Below are 20,651 nucleotides of genomic sequence, written 5' to 3'. Positions count from 1 at the left end.
AAACGAGCACCCACAGAAGCTCTGGGCCCGACACGATTCCACTTGCTTGATATTTCAGAAAAGAAGGAATTATACCCCAGCTGTAAAGGGAATATGGGTTACAGCTATAACAAGTACCGGGAAGGTAAGCGTTCCTTGCAAAAGCTGCCTTTTCTCAGGCTCGAACATCAGGACCTTCAGATTATGAGACTGACGCGCTGCTCACTGCGCTAAGAAGACGACGAAGTGCAACGGCGCGCCAGCTTCCACAGGAATTTCCTAATTTCTTTCCCCAGGCGGGTTATTTTGGTACTTCAGTTTTATTCGCCCAAGGTCGCTAGTTTTCCAAGATTATTTCCAATAGGCACGCGTAGGATCCTTTTTAGCCCATAGGAAGAACCGCACACTCGGAAGCCATAGTGTACTGAACAATTATGCCTGATCTCATTTTCTATTGATCTGGATCTTCGTCCCCTCAGATATATTAGGCAATATTTACTGTCCAGTTCCGTTAGTTGGAATAGCGGGCTCTCACTAAATGCTAGTTGAATGAATGAAAAGCTCCCAAACATGCCTGCAGTTTACACTTACCTCTCTTAATTTAAATTTGCATTTCCACTTATGTCACCTGAGATAGTCCCCTCAAAATATCACCAACTGATTTTATGATGAGTCTTCATGTTTTCTTCACCTCTATGTTGCAAATACCCTATTAAAGATTTTATTCCCGTAATTTCATTTAGTCCAATTTCTTTATTTATTTATTTGCCATAAATCTATACATCATTATCCCCATCTTACTGATGAAACTGAGGCTCAGCAGAACTAAATCCACAGCTGATAAGGGGCAAAACCAGATCTTGAAAGCAGACTTTGTTTTCCAAAAAGTGTGCTGCCCTCTTTCTCCCTCTAGATCATGTAATCTCCCCTTTTCCTCTCCACACTACCACACTCATTTGTTAAGCAAATAGCTATAGAATTTTAGATTCGTTGGTCCATTCAACAAACTGTAATTCACCACCTGCCATGTACCCGGCATTTATGTTCTAGATTTCCAAGGCATCCTTGGCCCTTTATCCCTCACATCCCTACAAACACCTTAAATCATTAGTTCTCAAAGTGCGGTGCCCAGACCCACCACATAATTCTTGAGGACACATTCCATTTCAGGCACTGTGCTACCTGAAGGCTTTGAGGATTCAGAGGAAATTGAGCCATCCCTGACCTCAGGAGCTGACAGGACAAACTGTCCTATCCGGTCCGGTTCCTGTACTCTCAAACTTCCGGATTCTTATAAATGCATCTTCCTAAATATTTTATTTTGATACTGTAACTCCCACTCTGCACTAGTTTGCTAGGGCTGCCATAATAAATATCACAGACTGAGTGGCTTAACCAACAGAAAATTTTCTCAGTTCTGGAGGCTAGAAGGGTTGTTAGCTTTGGTTTCTCCTGAGGCCTCTCTCCTTGGCTCGCAGATGGTCACTTACCTTCTTGCTATATTCTCCCACGGTCTCTCTCTCTACACATATTTCCATCTTTTCTTATAAGAACTCCTATTGGGAGTTAGGGTTTCGACATGAATTTGATGACAGGTGGGGCGGGACAAAATTCCACCATGACAGGCTCAAAGTTGTTTACATTTTCACCTTCATATTTGCAGTAGACTTTGTTACTGGAAAGCACTACTTGCTTTTTTTTTTTTTTTTTAACACGTATTTTAAAGCCCCTTAATTAAACAGACCATATACCTTTCCTTATCTAGGAATTGCCACTCCAGTGCCTCGTCCACACATCCATTATTTCTCCTCATCTCCATTCTTCAAGGCCCATTCTTGATTCTTTCATTCTTATTTGAAAGAATGTAGCATGGAGGAATGTAGCATACTAGTTTTTCCCTCGGAATTGCATGACTCATTGTCATGCAAATTACCCAGTCTCAGGTGTTCCTTTTAGCAACACAAAATAGACTAAGGTGTGTACATTTTTGTACTTGTCAAATGTGGTTAGAATACCAAATGAGGTACTGCCTCACAGATCCCTGAGATGTCATTACTTGGCATAACAAAATCATAATATAGATATCATAATAATACATAAGCAGACAGGGAAAAATCATAGTAATAACAAAGCTCATTAAGGGATAGCCACATAAGTTTATCAGTTAGTTCTCTCTAAACTCTGTAATATGAATGTGGCCAATCTCTGGGATTTAATAATACAAAAAATATGTTTTGGTCTCCCAGTGTCATTTTAATCTTATTCAGTAGGATACATTCTTTCCCTACCTCCATATGAAGACATACACAGTTTTATGCCTCATCCCAGGCAATACAGTCTCAGTCTCAAAGTTAAGATGCTGAGCTCCATGTAACACTCTAAAATTTAAACTTGACGTAAAGATCAGATCTCTTCCTTTACCTGCTGGGGCTGTTGAGTCATGACTATTTGGATAGTTTTCTAGGGAAAACATTTCATTTCTCTTTTCTTAGCCTAACATTCTACCATTTGTTAGCCACTGTTCTGAGACTTCTGTGCTTCAATTGTGGTGGAAGATGAGTTAAAGCCAGGGAGGGGTGGTGGGGAGAATAATAAAGTTCTTACTTTTAAATGGTGTTGTCATTGGTCAGTGTCATGCTTTCCATTCAGCTGTTTGAATACGAATAATTTTTTTAATACGATCCATGATTGTGGATTCTCATGTGCATTTCCCTTGATGATGATGTACTCTCCTGTACCCCCTTCTTTATGACTGCTTTTCCAGCCACTGCAAAACTCAAAGCTTCCTTTTGCTTCTTTTTCCTTAGCTACATTCATCCTTCCACATAGCCCACTGGGACTGGCTCAAAGTTGACCTCATGCTAGTGCTCCCTCTCTCCTGATTCCCACACCTGTCTTGTGGGAAAGGCCTACATCTGGTTGTCCCTGAAAAGCCCTGGGACTACAGGCCAATCCCAATATAGAAGGAACTTCAGGCAGTCAATCTGCCCATTTCTCCCCTTTACATTTCTCATGCATCTAACTACCGTATCTCCCATATTTTGGTGCCAGTGATTGAACTTGTTGGCACCTGTATTAGTCCATTGTCACACTGCTATAAAGAACTACTGGAGACTGGGTAATTTATGAAGAAAAGAGGTTTCATTGACCCACAGTGCCACAGGCTGTACAGGAAGCATGGCTGGGAGGCCTCAAGAAACTTACAATCATGGCGGAAGGCGAAGGAGAAGCAAGCATGCCTTACCATGGCAGAGTCCGAGAGAAAGAGCAAAGGGGAAAGTGTTACACACTTTTCAACAACCAGATCTCAGGAGAACTCACTCATTGCCATGAGAACAGCATGAGGGAAATCTGTCTGGAACAGGTTTGTGAACCCATTGAGGTGTTCATCCAGTGCTGTTTCAGAGAAATCTCTATTTCAATCTATTCCTATACATTAGTTACTGAAAAAGAACAGACAGTCACAAAAACAAGTTGACCTTTTTGTGATCCTTGAGCTCAGTTGCGAAGGGCCCTCGTGACCGGGCCTCATGCCAAACAACTCGTTACAAAAAGAACTAGGGTTCCAGACTGGGCTGAAGCTTCATGAGACTTCTCCTCGTCTGTGGGCAGACAGGTGGCCAACTCTGGAGCCCAGGCTGTTGCTTCCCGGTCTGTTGGTGAATCCTCCATAGTCTGGTGAGTGTACATATATATGTATATGTATATGTATATATATATATATATATATATATATATATATATATATATATATATGTCTTTTTCCTTCCCATTGCAATTTGCTTATTATATCAGTCTGCTTATTATTTCAATTTGCTTACTATATCATTTGCTTATTATATCTGCATTGACATTTACGTGGGATAAACGTTGTTTACCCTCATATTGTGTGTGTGTCTTTTCTTCTCCCTTTACATGTCTTCCACACAGAACATGTACACATGTATCTACAGGTGCATGTGTGTATGTAGATGTGATTGCACCCGTGTTTATGTATACATGTCTGTGTACACCACATGCATGTGTAAATGTATGTGGGTACACGTGCAAGCATGTGTATGCATACATGCATGTAAACATATGCACAAAGGTATCTACACATACATGTGTATACATGCACGCACGCATGTTTACGTATACATGCATGTACACCATATGTATGTGTGTATGCATGTGTGTATTTGCAGATGCATATGCATATGCATACATGCGTGTACATGCATGTGCACACGTAGCTGCACATTCACGTGTGTATGTATACATGTATATACACGTGTGTGCATGTGTGAGTGTGTAAAGATATGTAAACATGAATGTGCAAATGCATGTGGGTGTGTGTGCATGGATGTATGTGTATCCATGTATTGTGTACAGAGTATGCATGCATGTATGTGTGTAGATATATGTGCAGATAGACATGTGCTCACAAGCAAGTCTGCATGTATGTGTGTACATGTGTATGTGTTTACCCATGTACGTGTGTATGCACGTGTGTACGCATGCATGTACATGCATATGCATTTGTGTATGCATGCATGCACACAAGTATGCATACATGTATGCATTGTGCACATGTATGCACATGTTTGTATGAATGATGTATATATACATACACGTATACACCATGTATACCAGCCTACAAATGCATCTGTGCACACACACGTGAAAGCGTGTGTATGCCTGAATAGAAGTGTCCATACATACATGTGCATATCCACACATACATGTCTACAACACGCATGCGTGCACACATGCATGTGCACACACAAAAATTTGTGTGCAAACACATGCATGCATGACATATATGTGTACATGGATATGTGGGTATACATGCATGTGCATACACATGTGCATTTGCATGCACACATGCACACATAATACATGTATATATACATACATGTTTGCGCAAAAAAGCACGATGCATACATGTACACAAACATATATGTTCATACACACGTACTTGTGCATACAAATGCACATGTGTACCCACACATGCATTCAGACGTCTGTGTACATGTATACATACACCTATACGTACAAACATACACACATATACACTCATACATGTGTGCACACACGCATATGTACACACATGCACGTGTACAAATACATGTGTGAGTCTGCATGCATTTGTGCATATTCATTGATTGTGTACACAGTATGTATGTGTGCATGTATGTGTGTATACGTGTATGTGTAGATGCATACGCATATGTTAACATGCATGTACACTCATGTAAACGTGCATCAACACATTTGTACACGTATTTATTTGTGTATCAGGTTTGTATACACGTACCTACACATGCATGCGAGCATTCGTGCATGTATGTACACGAGAATGCATATGTGTATGCATACCTGTATGTACACATATAAGCACAGGCATCTACACGTGTGCGTGCGCACCTATGTGCACACTTATGTATACATGTATGTGCACGTGCATAAATGAATTAAGAAAGAAACAATTCACCCAAACAAGGAGGAAAAGATGAACATCTCAAGTACCTATGAGCATTTTTACATGCAGACCCCTTACTGACATTGGCCAAGACAGATGACAAGAGATCATCAAGGAGAGAGTTCATTAGAAAAAGATACTGCTAACATTAGAGAAACATAGCATCAATCACCCATGGCATGGATGCTGTTGAGCTTCCACCTGAAAAACAAACAACAACAACAACAAACCTGGTGGGTAGAAATAGGAACAGGTTTAGCATTACATCCCTCCCTCCTTTTCCCGGGACCTGCATTGGGCCCCATAAGCTTGGCATGAACCTAAGTGAATAAGACACCAAAGGACTGAAGATTAACACTACCTTCAGAATTAGGACTCAGAGCCAGGAATTTCTTTAGACTACATAACCAGTCTATGCATATGTGAGGTTTTGGACTGTAGTTCACACTGGCTGCGCTTCCTTATGGAAACAGTGACTACTAGATGGAGGATATTAATGAAAGATAGCACACATCCATACTAAATGTCACAACAGCAAAAACCATAAGATAGTTACTGACAATGAGTCGTGCAATTCCGAGGGAAAAACTAGTTTGCTACATTCCTCCATGTTACATTCTTTCAAATAAGAATGAAAGAACCAAGAATGGGCCTTGAAGAATGAAGATGAGCAGAAATAATGGGTGTGTGGACCGCGCATTGGAGTGGGAATTCCTAGATAAGGAAAGGTATATGGTCTGTTTATTTAAGGGACTCTAAAATACTTGTTAAAAAACAACAAAAAAAAGCAAGTAGTGCTTTCCAGTAACAAAGTCTACTGCAAATTTCTTTCTGTACATGGGAAATAAGGACTGTGGGATTCTTTGGGTGGATCCCAGCACCTAGAGTTGGATCTGATCAAAAAGAAGTAAGTGCTCAGTAAACATTACCTACTGCTTTGGTTGCCTTCCCCCTGTGGAGTGCTGGCCTCCTGGATTGAGCTTGCATCATAGGCCTTCAGTAGGAACTTACTTAGTGGATTTACAGGTTGAGGTTAGAACCCATCAGGATTCTTTTCCTGGAAAGAACAGGCATGTGTTCTTCCCTTCCCTCTAAGTTTTCACATAGACACTGGGTGAGGAAAGAGCCCTAAATTGCTTGAAAAATTGATTGCTCTTTGAGCAAAGCAAGAAACCCTCCTATGGAAGGGCATCATTTGGGCATATATCGGGGTCTCAGTACGAAGATGACTGCTCAAGAGGTCAAGATGCTTAAGCAGAGAATCTGACCAGAATGTTCGTGGTACAGAGAAACAATCTTTCTGGGAGAAAGAAGACAATTGAGGCTTTCGAATATAAGCTAAATAAGCTTCAAAGGGTATATAAAAAAGAATCAGGTACAAATCCTTTACTACATTCTTTTGTACAAATCAATTTTTGTCTAGAAAATCATACCTTACTATGCATCCCTATTGTGTTCCTCCACCATCTATTTTGTTTTTTTAAGCGTTATTTCATTTTCATGTTCACAGAAGCTTGTTGCTACAACTGCATGAGCAAAACAGCCAGTAGCAACAGAAATGCATTAATATCTCTCCTCAGACCTTGAAAGCATTTTCCTTAAAGGTGAACAATATTCCGCATACAAGGACTTTTTCAGGACTATGTGCCAGAAATTATACTGAATGTTTCTTAATTTTTACGTAAATCGGACAATATCGTTTTTCAGCTTCCCCAAGTATTATTACCCCAGTGTTATAAATGACACTGAAGTAAAGGGTATATCACTCTCTTTATTCTGTGTAGGTGTATCTGCTTACAGCTAAGGATTTCCTAAATTATAGTTTTGTAAACATTAGTTCTAAATCATTCTGATCACTTGAATTTTGAAAATGTCAAAACCAATCACATTTATGTAGTAGAAAATACAGGTTTGAGGTGCATTGGCTCACTGTTTTATTTACTATGGATCAGTGGAGTAGAAATTCCCATCGCGGAAGAGGGTTCATTCCTGTCTCTCAGCCTCAGCAAAGTTAAACATTTCAGACCTTTCCTGACTTTGGATCTATTGCGCATGCTCTGTCGTTTACCACTATCCAATCCTGGGGGGCATATAGAGCCACTCAGAGCCTTAGAGGTACCTTCAGTGAAATGGAACCAATCACCATATAGTGTAGCCTATTGTTCGTCTGACCAAAATGCACTATGTTGCGATAGCATGGATTCTACAGGCCCGTGAAGCCCATTTGGACCACAAGACACTCTTTCCATCATGCCTGCACACATATCCCTCACTCTTCATTGATTCATGCAGACTTTTAAAAGTATTCAGCAATAAGCATCCTACCCCCAAGAAGCTTATGATCTCATGGAGAAGATGGCCAAGCAACAGACAATCCCAACATGGTGAATGCCGCTAAAACAAATGCGTACCTGGATCTCCGTGAGTGCTAGGAGGAAAGCAACCCAAACTCAGAAAAGTAGGAGAGGTGTCAGGGAAGACATTTTCCAGAAGATGGTTTCATGTCTAACAAAGCCGTGAGACAAGCAAAGAGGAGGTGAAAGGCTCAGCGCTCTATGGGACATTTCCTTAAGTCCAGTATCTCTCGAGTTGAGTGTGGGAAGCTAAAAGGGAGGAAATAGAAATGAAAAATGGGAGTTCTTGAGAGGCTTTACTTACCCTGCACAAGCCAAGGACAGGTCTGCAGGAAGTAAGCAGATGCACAGTTAGGAAAGCCCACATCAGGAGTTAGTCACGACAGAGAAAGATTTGTACACTTTGGAAATCGTAAAAGGATGAAAAGCCCAGGTCCTTATTTCCGTGTTTTCGCCTGTTTTTCACGTTCCTCCCGGATTTCAATTTCTTTCTGGAATCTCAGCTCTCTGCATCATCTGCTCTTGCAGGAACACTAAACTGGAAACGCAACCCTACGATTCAGCGAACTACGTCCCATCAAGATTACTGGGTACAAATACATTTACTTTCGTGTTCTCTTGTGACTGTCTGTATCACTGCACACGGTTGTTACTGTGAAACAAGCATTAAAGTCTGTGTAGATTACTGAGTACATATACATTTCTTTTCTTGTTCTCCCGTGACTTTTGATATCACTGCACACAACTGTTGCTGTAAGATGAACATTAAAAAAAGCCGCTTCTGACCGGCACGGGGATCGAACCCGCGACCTTGGCGTTATTAGCACCACGCTCTAACCGACTGAGCTAACCGGCCCCGCATACTAAAACCCACCCTAAATCTCTTGAGAAGTTTAAAGGCGAACGTTATTCCAATCACCGAAGAAACTTTTCTGAACTTCTCGGAACTGGAAAGAACCTGCGATCTTTGCTAACTTGGTTACGATCCTCGGCAAATTTCTCCGAACCCTGACATTTCAGTTAAAATACAATTCTGAGGAAGGAAAGTTCAAATGTCACCTGCTTCAGTGTTTCATGACAAGGGGTTTCAGTGACCACCCTTTTAAACGCAACGCCATCACCGTCCGCCGGTACTGTGGCCTGCCCTTATCACTCCTTTCTACTTTGCTTCCGTAGCTTCCGAGCAACCCGTGAAGAAATTGACGGAAAACGGAAGGAATTACCGCCAGTTTCTTTCCACGGGCCGTCAAGGCCAATATAAGTCCCCACCCAGGCTCCTCTGCTCGTAACTTCCAGCACGACTCCCACTGTATTCGCCCATGTTTCCCAAAAGTGAGTATTTGATCCCTACCCCACCCCATTTTTAGAAAACTCAGGAAAACGCTCTCGTATTTCTATCTGAAAAGGACACTGTAGAGAAATACGTTCCATTACAGTCTTTGTGTTCGCATTGTATTCCTTCTCGATGAAACAGGTGTAAGTCCATTGGTATTTTACGCACGACAAGACAACTTTGAAGCCCGACTCATGACCTTTAGATTAAGAAACACTCTCCGGGAGCTCTGCTGATCGCTGGGTCTTACGAGGTTGATGCCTTCTGTCCCAAACAGAACTATTTCCCTGCGTGTTTCCGCCTGGCTGCCCACTTCTCCGGTAGAGAAACAGCTGTTCCTCGGGATTCATTTTTGGAAGTTCTTTGGGTCCTGGGTAATGGGGCCGCATCCTGCAGCGTCGACAAGGTGGTTGAATACGCAGGAACACCCACAGCACCCAGGGACTAATAAATAGCTCAATAGATACATTTCGAATAACTGAATAAAGGAAATCTCAACCAACCCCCTTGCCGTATTACAGATGGTCCAGCTCTCTGCCTAGACTACTGTGCTAATGTCCTGTTCCTTCTCCCGGCTTTTGAACTAGATTCTCACCTCTCTCCAATCCATCTTTCGCAGGGCTGGCCTGTCTTTCCGCCTCACTTCTGAGATTCTATCCATTGCAGCCTCTATGCAAACCGACTCTGGTTAAGATTTCAGTCGGTATGGCTCCCCTCTTCCGCACTTTGCACTGCGAGAAATGCCCTTCCTTGAGGCAGCTGGAGGCCTCCTCCCCCTGAGAGCTTAATTGTGGACACAGCCTTGAGTAGAGGCGAAAAGGAAAGAAGGCTGGGAGATAATGGGGGAAAGCACACCTTTGGTCTGGTTTGAAAGCTGGCGCCCGAAAAGGGGAGCGAAAGGACAAGAAAAAAAAAAACACGCTCCGAAAGTGTCTGAGATTGCTGCGGCCATAAAGCAGAGCACTAACCGCGGTACTGATAAGGGAGGGGAGCAGGGCTCCGCCGCCGGGCCTGTGCCCATGGACCTAGGTGAGGACGGGCACTCCTTCCTCCGCGGCCAAACGTTGCATTTCCCAAGACCACCCTGACCCGCCACGCCCCCATCCTGTGCCTATAAAAACTCCCGAGACCCTAGCGGGCACAGACACAAGCGGCTGGACATGAAGAGGAACACACCGGCGGGAGAACACAGAACACGCACCCTTTCTTTTAGTCACCCTGGAGGCCTCGGAGAAGGCGGTTTCAGTGATCCGTGAAGAGACCCCGAGTCTTTTACATCCCGGAGAATGACAAGAGAGCGAGTACCTGGGCGACGTTTACGTTCTGGGATTTCGGGAGATGCGGTTTTCTGCACGCCAGGGGCCAAGCCTGAGACGTAGATGGACGGCAGGGATAGGAGCTCTCTCCGCGCCACAAACGCCCCTGCTCATACCTGGGTTCCTTGATTTTCCTGCCTATATAACCCAGCCTCCCATGGCCGGGCTCTGAGCTCTCATTCTGCGGACTGGGACAAAGGGGTTAACTGTGATGCGCTTTGTATAACCCCAGGATTCTGCACTTGCCCAAGGGCGAGGTGCAAATCAAAAACTACGCACAACTGAACACCGAGATCAGGTGAGTCCTGAGTGTCTCACGACATAAAATCCTTACGATTTTAACAAGAGTTGTATTTGTGCTAGCACTGTTAACTGACAAACGCATGCCAGATCCTATCTGTCTTTAGCTCAATGTGTGACGTTAGACACGTCGTTTTGCTCTTCAACTTTCTTATTTGGAAAAAAAACAAGTGTTCTAGATTTGCAGAGGACATTTTCGGAGCTAAGTTCCAGTAGCTATACTGTAAGTTGATTTCTTGGGCAGTTCTGTTGGTGAGGAAAGAGGGCAAATTGAGAAATGAACAAACACAGAAGTTGCAAAAGCCCTGTGACTTACAGCACAGGACAAGTCTACAAACCCTGCCATGCTACACTAAGCTCTAATTGTTTTAACACCAGCTTACTCAGACCCGATGATCCAAGATAAGACCAAAGCCAAACGGATCCAGCAACTCTGCGCAGATCTTCATGTTCCAGCAGCTAAGTTCCACTGAATAAACCTATGATTCGCCTAGTTTAGAAATTGTCTAGTCCCTCCTGAGAAGGACCTTACTAACTTTCCCCCTAAAAGTGTCCTATGAATAGCTCCAGTCCCCAAACCCTTTAAATTCTGGTCTCTGACTCACCCTTGTTTTAGGCAGTACTGGGACTCCACAGAGGTACGGCTCTTTGCTCAGCAAGTTTAATAAATCCAAGGTAGTAGAATCAATTTGTTTTCTTGGTCGTCTTGTTTTGAGGGAGTAGGTCTTCTAAATGTTGATTCTGATCCCTGCCTATGGATATTTATGAATAAATAGATATTTGCACTCCATCATTATGTGGAGCTACAAGTGTTAAATTTAACCATCTAATTACCTCTAAAATAACCACTAAATTCAACAATCTGAAACTTATCTAATTAGTTCCACATCCTGGAATGAAGGGATTTAATAGGTAATAACAGATCTCAGTCTCTAATGGAGACATAATCACACAGACACCAGACGAAAGATGAGTAAAGTGGAAAGCAATAGGTAGAACAATAATTTGCTTTATGCTATGATTTTTGGAGTGAAGCAAGAAAATTAATCAAGGAAACAAAGAAGAAATCCAAGACGTAGTAGTGTTGGATTTGCATTTTTGTCATATGACACTACTTCTATTCTACAGGATTCACTTGGTCTCCATCTGACCTCCTCAGAGTAGACTGCTCTTTCCCAATCACTCCTGCAATTACCCTAGGAGTTGTGTGATCCTAAAGTAAGGGGGAATTTTAAATTTACTTCTAAGTACACCTGCATGATGCCATTAGTCAGGGCAGGGTAGCTGAACAAACTCAGCTCTGAATCCTTTAAGCAGAGGTAATAATTACTGACACTATTTAATCGGATTCTGAACATGATGTGCCACTTTTCCTTTTGCGTCTGAAGTGACACCAGCCATTTTCACAGTTTCTTCCACTAGGAGGTCCTGGGAGAAAAGTGATAAAGGTAGATTGAAGAATGGTTAGTTTGATAAGAGAAATATAAAGGCAAGTATTTTTTTCACTCAGTTCACCTTGGTTCTAAGAGTGGGTTTATATAAAGAAATGGAACGTGCTTCTGCTAATTAATATTCAGGCAGAAAAAGTCATGAATTCCACTACAAACCCATGTCCCTTCTTCCGAAGACATGAGAAATTGATGAGGGTATTCTTTCTTCTGTCGGTAAAACGAAGTCTGGGATATAGATTGCAACATTAGCAGTGCCATAGTGCAGAATTTCTCATAATTAACACTTTTTACTTAAAATAGAATTAAGAAAATAGAATTGGAATGTAAAGTTAATAAATTAATCATGTTACAAACAATATGAACATAGAAGCAAAAATTGCATGGTCTTTGGCATGCAGTCTTTGATTTGGGGAATGCATTCTTTTCTATTGCTATCAGGAAGGAGGAACAGAAATAGTTCATATTCACATGGACTAGACGAAAGTATGCATTTATGTTCCTACTCCAGAGGTATATCAAGTCCCCCAATTTTTCCTAATCTAGTCCAAAGAGAATTGAACTGTCTGGACCATCAGCAAAACATTGGTACACTGTATTGATAGTATCATTTAAATCTTCAATGAGCAAGAAGTGTCAAGTAAGTTATAGATTTTGTTAAGCCCTGCATGCTCCAGAGGGTGGGAGAGAAACACAGAAACCATTCATCGACCTGGTTCGTGAATGAAAGTTTTTAGGATCTGTGAAATTCTGAGACATTTCCTCCAAAAGACTCATTGTTGCACCTCAAAGCTCCCATCACTTAGAAGGGAGCACTATGCTCACCATGTTTCTTTGGGCTGCGAAAGCAGCGCGTTCCACGCTTGGAGACCCTTCTCTGACACATTTACCAACAGATATTGAATTAAAATATTAACAAATTGAATCCAGCATTATCTATAAAGCATAATGCACCAAGAGTTAGGGGAGATTGCCTTGGGAATAAAAAACTAGTTAAGCATTGAAAAGTCAATTAAATGTAATATACTACATTAACAAAACAAAAAATACATGTCATCATCTCACTAGATGCAGAAGAAATATTGGACCAAATTTGCCATTCATTCGTGGTGTTTAAAAATATCTCAGTAAACTAAGAATAGAAGAAAAATTCCTTAGATGAATAATGGGCATTTAAGAAACTCCTACAACTAGCAACATGGTTAATAGTGGAAGAATAAATATGTACCCTTTAATATTGGAGAAAAATGCAAAATATCTGTTCTTACTACTTCTACATTTTACTGAAAGTCCTAGCTAGTGCCAGAAAGTAAGGAACGCATGAATGAAAAATAAATGACATACTCACTTTAGAAAAGAAAAATATATTCATTTGCAAACAACATGATCAGATACACAAAAAATCCTAATGCATCTACAAAAATAAGCATTATAAGTAAATGCAGCTATGTCTCAGATTACAATATAAAAAAATTAATTGTATTTCTATGTACTAGCATCAACAAAAATGGAAAATTAAATTACCATTTTCAATAGGTTTAAAACAAATGAAATATTTAGAGATAAACTTGTCAATGTGCACAAGACTTGTGCCTAGAAATCTACAAAAGATGGCTGAGAAAAACTCAGGAAAACCTGAATAATTGGTGTTGTTTGCCATATTTACAGATTGAGAAATTTAATATTATTTAGATAACTTTTTTTACTCTGAGTTGATCTATAGATTTACTACAATCCCAACAAATATCCCAGCAGGAGTTTTTGTTTTGTTTTGTTTGTTTGTTTTTACAGAAATTGACAAGCTTATTCTGAAGGACCTAGAGTAACCTAAATAATTAGGAAAAGAAAAACAAAGTTAGAGGACTTACACCAAGTAATTTCAAGACTTATTATAAAGCTAAGGTAATCAAAATAATGTGGTATTTTCTCAAGGATACTTACCCAGATTGATGGAATAGAATAGATAGTCCAGAAATAGACCAATGTATGTGGTCAACTGATTTATGACAGAGGTAAAATGTTTTTTTAAACAAATGGTCCCAGGCATCTGAGTATGGAAAAAAGGATTCCCTACCCTTACCTCACATCCTGTACAACAATTAAATCAAAATAGTTTATATACAAAAAGCTTAACGTTAAAGATATCAAACTTGTAGAAGAAAAGAAGAAAAGAAGTCTACGCATATTTGATGTAGGCAAAGCTTTTTCAGAAGGGACCAGAAAAGCATGAGCCCTTACAAAAAAAGATACACTGGATTTCATAAAATATCAAAATGTTTTTCTTTGAAAGACAATATTAAGAAAATGAAAAGGCAAGACATAGACTTGAAAAGAAATGTAATATATGTCATATGCACACATAGTTGTTTTACATCATATGTGTTATAGATACATATATAACAGGACTTTTATGGAGAATATAGAACACATTTTAGAACTCAGTGATACAAACACTCAGTAAGGATAAGGCCAAAATCTTGAGCAGGCATTTCACAAAATAAGATGCTTATATGGCCAATAGGCACACTAAAAGATGTTCAACAACATTAATCAGTACTAAAATGCAAATTAAATCTATCAAGGATTAATAGGTAACAACAGATCTCAACTCCCCTGAATGGAGAAACAATTAGTAACAGAGATATTAGATGAAGATAAGTTACTTGAAGGATCAATCGGTGAAAAGATACTTGGGTTTATTTCCAGGTTTGTGTTCTTAAAAAGTGATGCATTCAACAGAGCATTTGAGGTAACTGCTAATTAGGGACGGTACTTCCTTCTCTTTCATCTAATGGGAGAGTGAAATCAGATTAGAACTAGAGCTTTCCTAATGAGATCTTTTCTCTCTTTCTCAGGATCCCGACTCAGATTGAAAAAGCAGAGGATGGTCACTGCCTTCCAGGTCTGAGGCTGTCTCCCAGAAGCTTCACTCCTGGCTTCGCCTTGGTAGGGAAGTTTCCGGAGGTGTTCGAAAACCTGGAAACTTAAGTGGGACATAGGACGCTATTTGTGTCCCGGTTATAAAAATTGGCAGAAAAGACAAGTGTAGTGTGGGGGATTAGCTCAAGCGGTAGAGCGCCTGCTTAGCATGCAAGAGGTAGCAGGATCGATGCCTGCATTCTCCAGCTTCTTTTAATCCCTAGGCTACCAATGGTATCTGGCCTAGATGACAGTTGCACAGTACTCGTTATTGTTGTGGCAGTATCTGTGTGGATTATTGGCCTCATCCACTGTGCCTGGTGCTGAAGAAGTGCTTCAGGAATGAATCCACAGATTGAGATGAAAATTCTCAAGCTTTCTCTTTCTCAACTCCTCCAAGGTTCTCCATCACTTTCTGAGTCCTACAGGAGGAAAGTGCTATTGAAGATGCGGCTATGCCGTGAAGCTCTGGGGCTGGGAGAAGCTGTCCCACCACTTCCGGGCGGCGGTGGCGGCAAGGAGCAGGTGACGATCACAACTCTAGAGCGTGCTGGAATAGCTGTGCCCCCAAGCCAGGCAGTTCCGGGTGGTGCTTCTCCATCCAGAATGTGCTCTCTAATTCCGAGAGATGAAGAAGGCGAAATTGGGAAGTGAGGAGAGAGGTCTCCCTCATGACCTTCTTTGGAAATCCCTATTCTTCGCACTGTCAGGCTCATAGAACTTTGCTGAAGGCAGTATCTGAGAAGCTCCGCCCTCAATCTTGTCCTGCCAGGGGTTTGGCGACACAAAGCACCAGCATGCTCCTAATAACCAGGAAAATGGGTGGGGTGCAGCATTTCTCCCTCGGGGAATTAGCTCAAGCGGTAGAGCGCTCCCTTAGCATGCGAGAGGTAGCGGGATCGACGCCCGCATTCTCTAATTTCTTGTCTGGTTTATGTCTTTTAGTTTGTATTCCCCGTTGTTTCTCCTGTTGACGACATCTGTGCCTCTTATCTGGGAGAAGATCAGAGGAAACTGCCGCCTCCCTAGAGCCCGTGTTTTATTGATCCCCGTGTAAGAGTCTTGTTGCCCCTGCTTCCATCCTCCCTTCTTTTCCACTCCTGCCACAGGTTTGGCACTTCTAGGTACTCAGGTGTCAGCGCAAATTTCCCGTCTTTAGACAAGTACAGCTAAAAGTGATGCCCACACGATCTCTCAGTTCCTATTACATCTTCACAAATATCGTCTCCTCCGGAAAGTATGTCTTTGAATTATTGGTTTGTTTTTCTCTCCCCTAGAATGGGAGCTTCCTGAGTACCGAAACACTGTCTATGTAGACTGTGTTTAACTCACTTCATCACCATGTGTAGAGTTAAGGTCCTATAAAATACGGTTACTGCCTTGAACAGATGAGGTGAGTAGTATAAGGAAACGGAGATCAAACACAAAGCAATACTTAAAAAAATTATCCTGCCACATTTCTAAAATCTTAATAATAGCATTCACTAATGTTTTTTGGTTTTCCTTTGTGCTTTCTCCATAGCCCCTTATTCTTATCATTATTTTTGACATTTGACTCACAATTTTCCATTTGTTTTCAAATGACCAAGCAGATTTTCCAATTTTCTAGTTAATTCCTGTGTTTCCTTCACCATTCTGTTTTCTGGTTTTCTTTTGGGCTACTTCTCCTTCTCCTTCTTCTTCTTCTTTTTCTTTTTCTTCTTCTTCTTCTTCTTCTTCTTCTTCTTCTTCTTCTTCTTCTTCTTCTTCTTCTTCCTCTTCTTCTTCCTCTCCTTCCTCTTCTTCTTCCTGTTCTTCTTCTTCTTCTTCCTCTTCTTCTTCTTCTTCCTCTTCTTCTTCCTGTTCTTCTTCTTCTTCTTCTTCTTCTTCCTCTTCTTCTTCTTCTTTTTCTTCTTCTTCTTCTTCTTCTTCTTCTTCTTCTTCTTCTTCTTCTTCTTCTTCTTCTTCTTCTTCTTCTTCCTCTTCTTCTTCTCCTTCTCCTTCTTCTGCTTCTGCTTCTGCTGCTTCTTTTTCTTCTTTTTCTTACTTCTTATATTGGATGCACTGATTTCTTCTAATGTTTTGTAACTTGGGTATTCAAAGGTATAAGTTAAAACGAGAAAGCAGTTTCTACAGAATCCTTAGAAATATGTCGTTATAAGCCCCCATTTTCATTATATTCTAAGGAGCTCGAAGATATACTTTTGATTCTTTTCTAAACTGTGCATTCGAGAGTTAATCCCTTCTTGTTTACTTTTATGTTCAGTCTTTCAATGTTATTTTCTAATTTTTGTGTATCATTTTATTTATCAACACATAAATATATATATTCACATAAATATATGAGTTATATATACATGTATTTATGAATGGCAGCTGAACCACATATTAGTGCTAATATTGGTGACTAAAAGTTGGAGAACCAGACACTATGTACCTCATAAAGCGAAGCAATGGAAAGTGCACAAGCCCACCTATCAAATTGTCTTGTTAAAAGATTCGAAGCTGAATCTAAGTGAGCCTCTACTTTTAACTACCAGTTTACAAGAAATAGAGTAGATTAAGAAACATGTCAAGGGGCAGGAAATAGATACAATGAAATAAATACAACATAGAGGTGTTTCTAAGGATAAAAGGCCCAGTTCCTTCAACAATTAACTGGCATTAACTCTTTATGATACTATAAGGGTAAATATATGTCATTATACATTTGTTTAAAAAAAAACCCAGGATGTATAACACAAAGAGCAAACTGTAATGTAAACTGTGGACTTTAGTTAACAGTAATGTATTGATAATTACTGGTTTACCAATTGTAACAAATGCACCACACTGATGCAAGATGTTAATAATAGGGAAAATTGTAAGAGAGGGAGAGTGATGGAGTTTATGGAAATTCTATCTATTCTGATCAATTTTTCTTTAAACCCAGAACTTCTCTAAAAAATAATGTCTATCAATTTTAAAAATAATATCAATGGAAGAAAGACCAGGGACCTTTTATGGGTGAAAAGAGTCTTAAAAAACATAAAAATCTGTAGATTTTACTTTATTATTTATAATCAGCTATTAGGAGAAATTTTTTTGTATGGCTGACAATCAGAAAAAAAGTTAATATTAGATCATATTTATGATCTATTACCAATTTGTTAACAATAGGTACATACACACAAGCAAACACGGCCCTAAAATTTCCTAGTTCTCTCAAGCTATTGATTTCATCCTTATCTCTGCTGCTGAGTTCAAGAAAGTGAAATGTGTAATGGCTATCTTTCCTTTCTGGTTTATTTCAAAGTCAAGTTCTAATATAGGTAAACAAATAAACTAATAAAGAGATAATGCTTTTCTCATGAAATGTATAATCTAGTAGGAATAAAGATAAACAATTTTTTTAAAAATTCTATTTCATTAAGCAAAAATGCAACTCGGAAGAATAATGTACATTAGCAGTCATTTACTATTTTTCAATAAAATTCCGATATATATGTAAAGTAAATTATTACTAATATCAAACATAGTTTAAAGAATTAGTGACTATGTGCACTTGGATCTCCATATGTAATGTACTATCAGCATCTTCACAAACACAGTAAATTTTAATATGCAAATAAAACTTATTTTACTAAACGATGATTACTCCTTCTATATTCATATTCCTAAACACATACAGTTTCTTAATGTAATTAAGTTTTTAACTAAAAAAAGGGAAATGCATTATTGAGGCGATAGGATTACTGGGTGGCTATAAACACATCTGCTGCACAGCTGACATTTATCTTCTACAATAAGCAATGACAATTTTATTTTTTAATAATCAGTATGGACTAATCCTGATGATTTTTTTTAACAGTTTCAAATAGGGCTGCATATGGCTTAAAATTAATATATATATGTGTACCTATATAGTATTCTTATTTATTAATGGACTTCCTACATAGCTCATATTGACGTTAGATTTAAATGAAATTCCAGAAGGGTTTTCTATAGGTAAGTCATACACTGGATTTCCATATTACCTACGATTATTGAAGTATTTATTTCTGTTTTTAGGACTTCAGAGCAATTTTGCTGGTCATTTATTTTCTGTGTTTTTATTTTGAAATTGTTCTTTGATGCATTGTCCTATTACATTTTTAAGGTATGTTAATAAAATAATATTTTTAATGATATTTTGCCTACTGCTTTCCAGGTGAACTCTTGTTTAAAGTATTAATTCACCAAAAATTACTTATATTCAGAAAATGAACTAAAAAAATAATATGACGTGTTCAAGAAAGTCGAACAAAAGATACGTGATGTTTGCAACATATACAACTCCATACCCTTCTCAAATAGTAAAGAGAATAGTAAATAGAATAGGTAGTAAGCAGAGTAGGAATTGTGGAATATGGAACTCTCAGTCACTCAATTGACTTTATTTTTTAGTAATACGGGATTTGAATTATTCAAGCTGAAGCCATTAAATATTCATAGTGCTTCATATTATAAAGTTATTGATTAATGTCTTTGGTAAAGAACACTATTATTTCTGATTACATCAAGGTCATCCTGAGGAACAGGACCAAAGCATAAAGTTTTATATATGAAATATGAGAAGTTAATACATAATTCATATTTAACAGATAACATAAATGTTAACCCCTTGGAGAATCTGAAGCTAATACCCATGTTCTTCTGACAATTCTTTATACTGGCAATTTGGAAAATGCCAGAGTTTTATTGCTACCTATTCTTGTATTATGACATGAATTAATACATATCTGCCTCACTATTCCTGTGGGCAAAAAAAGACTGTGAATTATGTGCCAGAGAGAGATTTTACAAAATTAAATGAGGCAAAATACTTTTCCTCTGTATACTCATTAGAAATATGCTGAGTAGTTCCTTTCAGTTCCTTTCACTTTCCGATAAAATATAATCAGTTCAACCATATAACAGATATCTTTTAAACTTTTAATGTCCTCTGTTAGAATGAATATGATATTTGGGACCAATTCACATTTTGGAATAATGTACATACTAAGCATAAGTGAAGAATTTAAACATTAACTTGATTTAGGACTGGACTCTTAGTTTTAAAAAGTTGAAAAACGGAATTCCAACAAATTTAAATGGCTTGTTTAGGGTTTCCACAGGCAATACGGGTTGGTGCAATGGAAAGAGAATTCCTTTAATCTAAACGTGGGCTTTATTCTGACTCTGCCACATATTGACTGTTTCATACAAATGTAACTTAAACTGCAGGTGTCATGATTTTTCACACATATACAAATAAAACAATGTTGATTATATAGGATTTGTTGAGAAAATGCAATTATGCCAAGTACAAGTATTTGGCATATTATCTCACTTTATAAATATTAGCAATTCTTTTTGTGGAGGGAATAAATCTAACATGCTGGCTTTTAGAATTTCTTCTTATTTTTCTTTCAACTTTATTGCCATGTAACATTTAAGTCAATAAATCTGACAATTAGACTGTGGGTAATTTTCTTCCAAATCCATATCTTGTTTTCTCTATCCATAGTAGCATTTTAAAACAACAGAAGGGAACTTTAA

At 39.2% G+C, this 20,651-nt stretch overlaps 1 long non-coding RNA gene and 1 other non-coding gene across 3 annotated transcripts, besides 1 other annotated feature; one reads left to right on the top strand and one right to left on the bottom strand.

Annotated features, from left to right (window-relative positions):
- The first annotated feature begins 8,578 nt into the window (after positions 1 to 8,578).
- On the top strand, positions 8,579 to 19,261 carry LOC105375103 (uncharacterized). Of its 2 annotated transcripts, none has more exons than XR_007059627.1 (3): positions 8,579 to 9,129; positions 15,050 to 15,638; positions 16,059 to 16,774. It is a non-coding gene; the product is annotated as an uncharacterized LOC105375103 (long non-coding RNA). The 2 variants fall into 2 exon arrangements; XR_001744178.2 differs by lacking the exon at positions 8,579 to 9,129 and adding an exon at positions 10,268 to 10,744 and having other exon boundaries at positions 16,059 to 19,261.
- On the bottom strand, positions 8,580 to 8,653 carry TRI-AAT1-1 (tRNA-Ile (anticodon AAT) 1-1). The gene has a single exon. It is a non-coding gene; the product is annotated as a tRNA-Ile (tRNA).
- Positions 10,418 to 11,617: an enhancer, noted in NCBI's record as "BRD4-independent group 4 enhancer chr6:58146291-58147490 (GRCh37/hg19 assembly coordinates)". NCBI's record gives its function as "activates an origin of replication core promoter dependent on BRD2, P300/CBP, MED14 and CDK7 cofactors, and independent of BRD4, by STARR-seq in HCT116 cells {active_cell/tissue: HCT116}" and the evidence as "EXISTENCE:reporter gene assay evidence [ECO:0000049][PMID:35650434]".
- Positions 19,262 to 20,651: the final 1,390 nt, after the last annotated feature.

Source organism: Homo sapiens, chromosome 6 (assembly GCF_000001405.40).
Source record: "Homo sapiens chromosome 6, GRCh38.p14 Primary Assembly".
NCBI lineage: Eukaryota > Metazoa > Chordata > Mammalia > Primates > Hominidae > Homo > Homo sapiens.
This window is presented reverse-complemented; position numbering and strand designations above follow the sequence as displayed.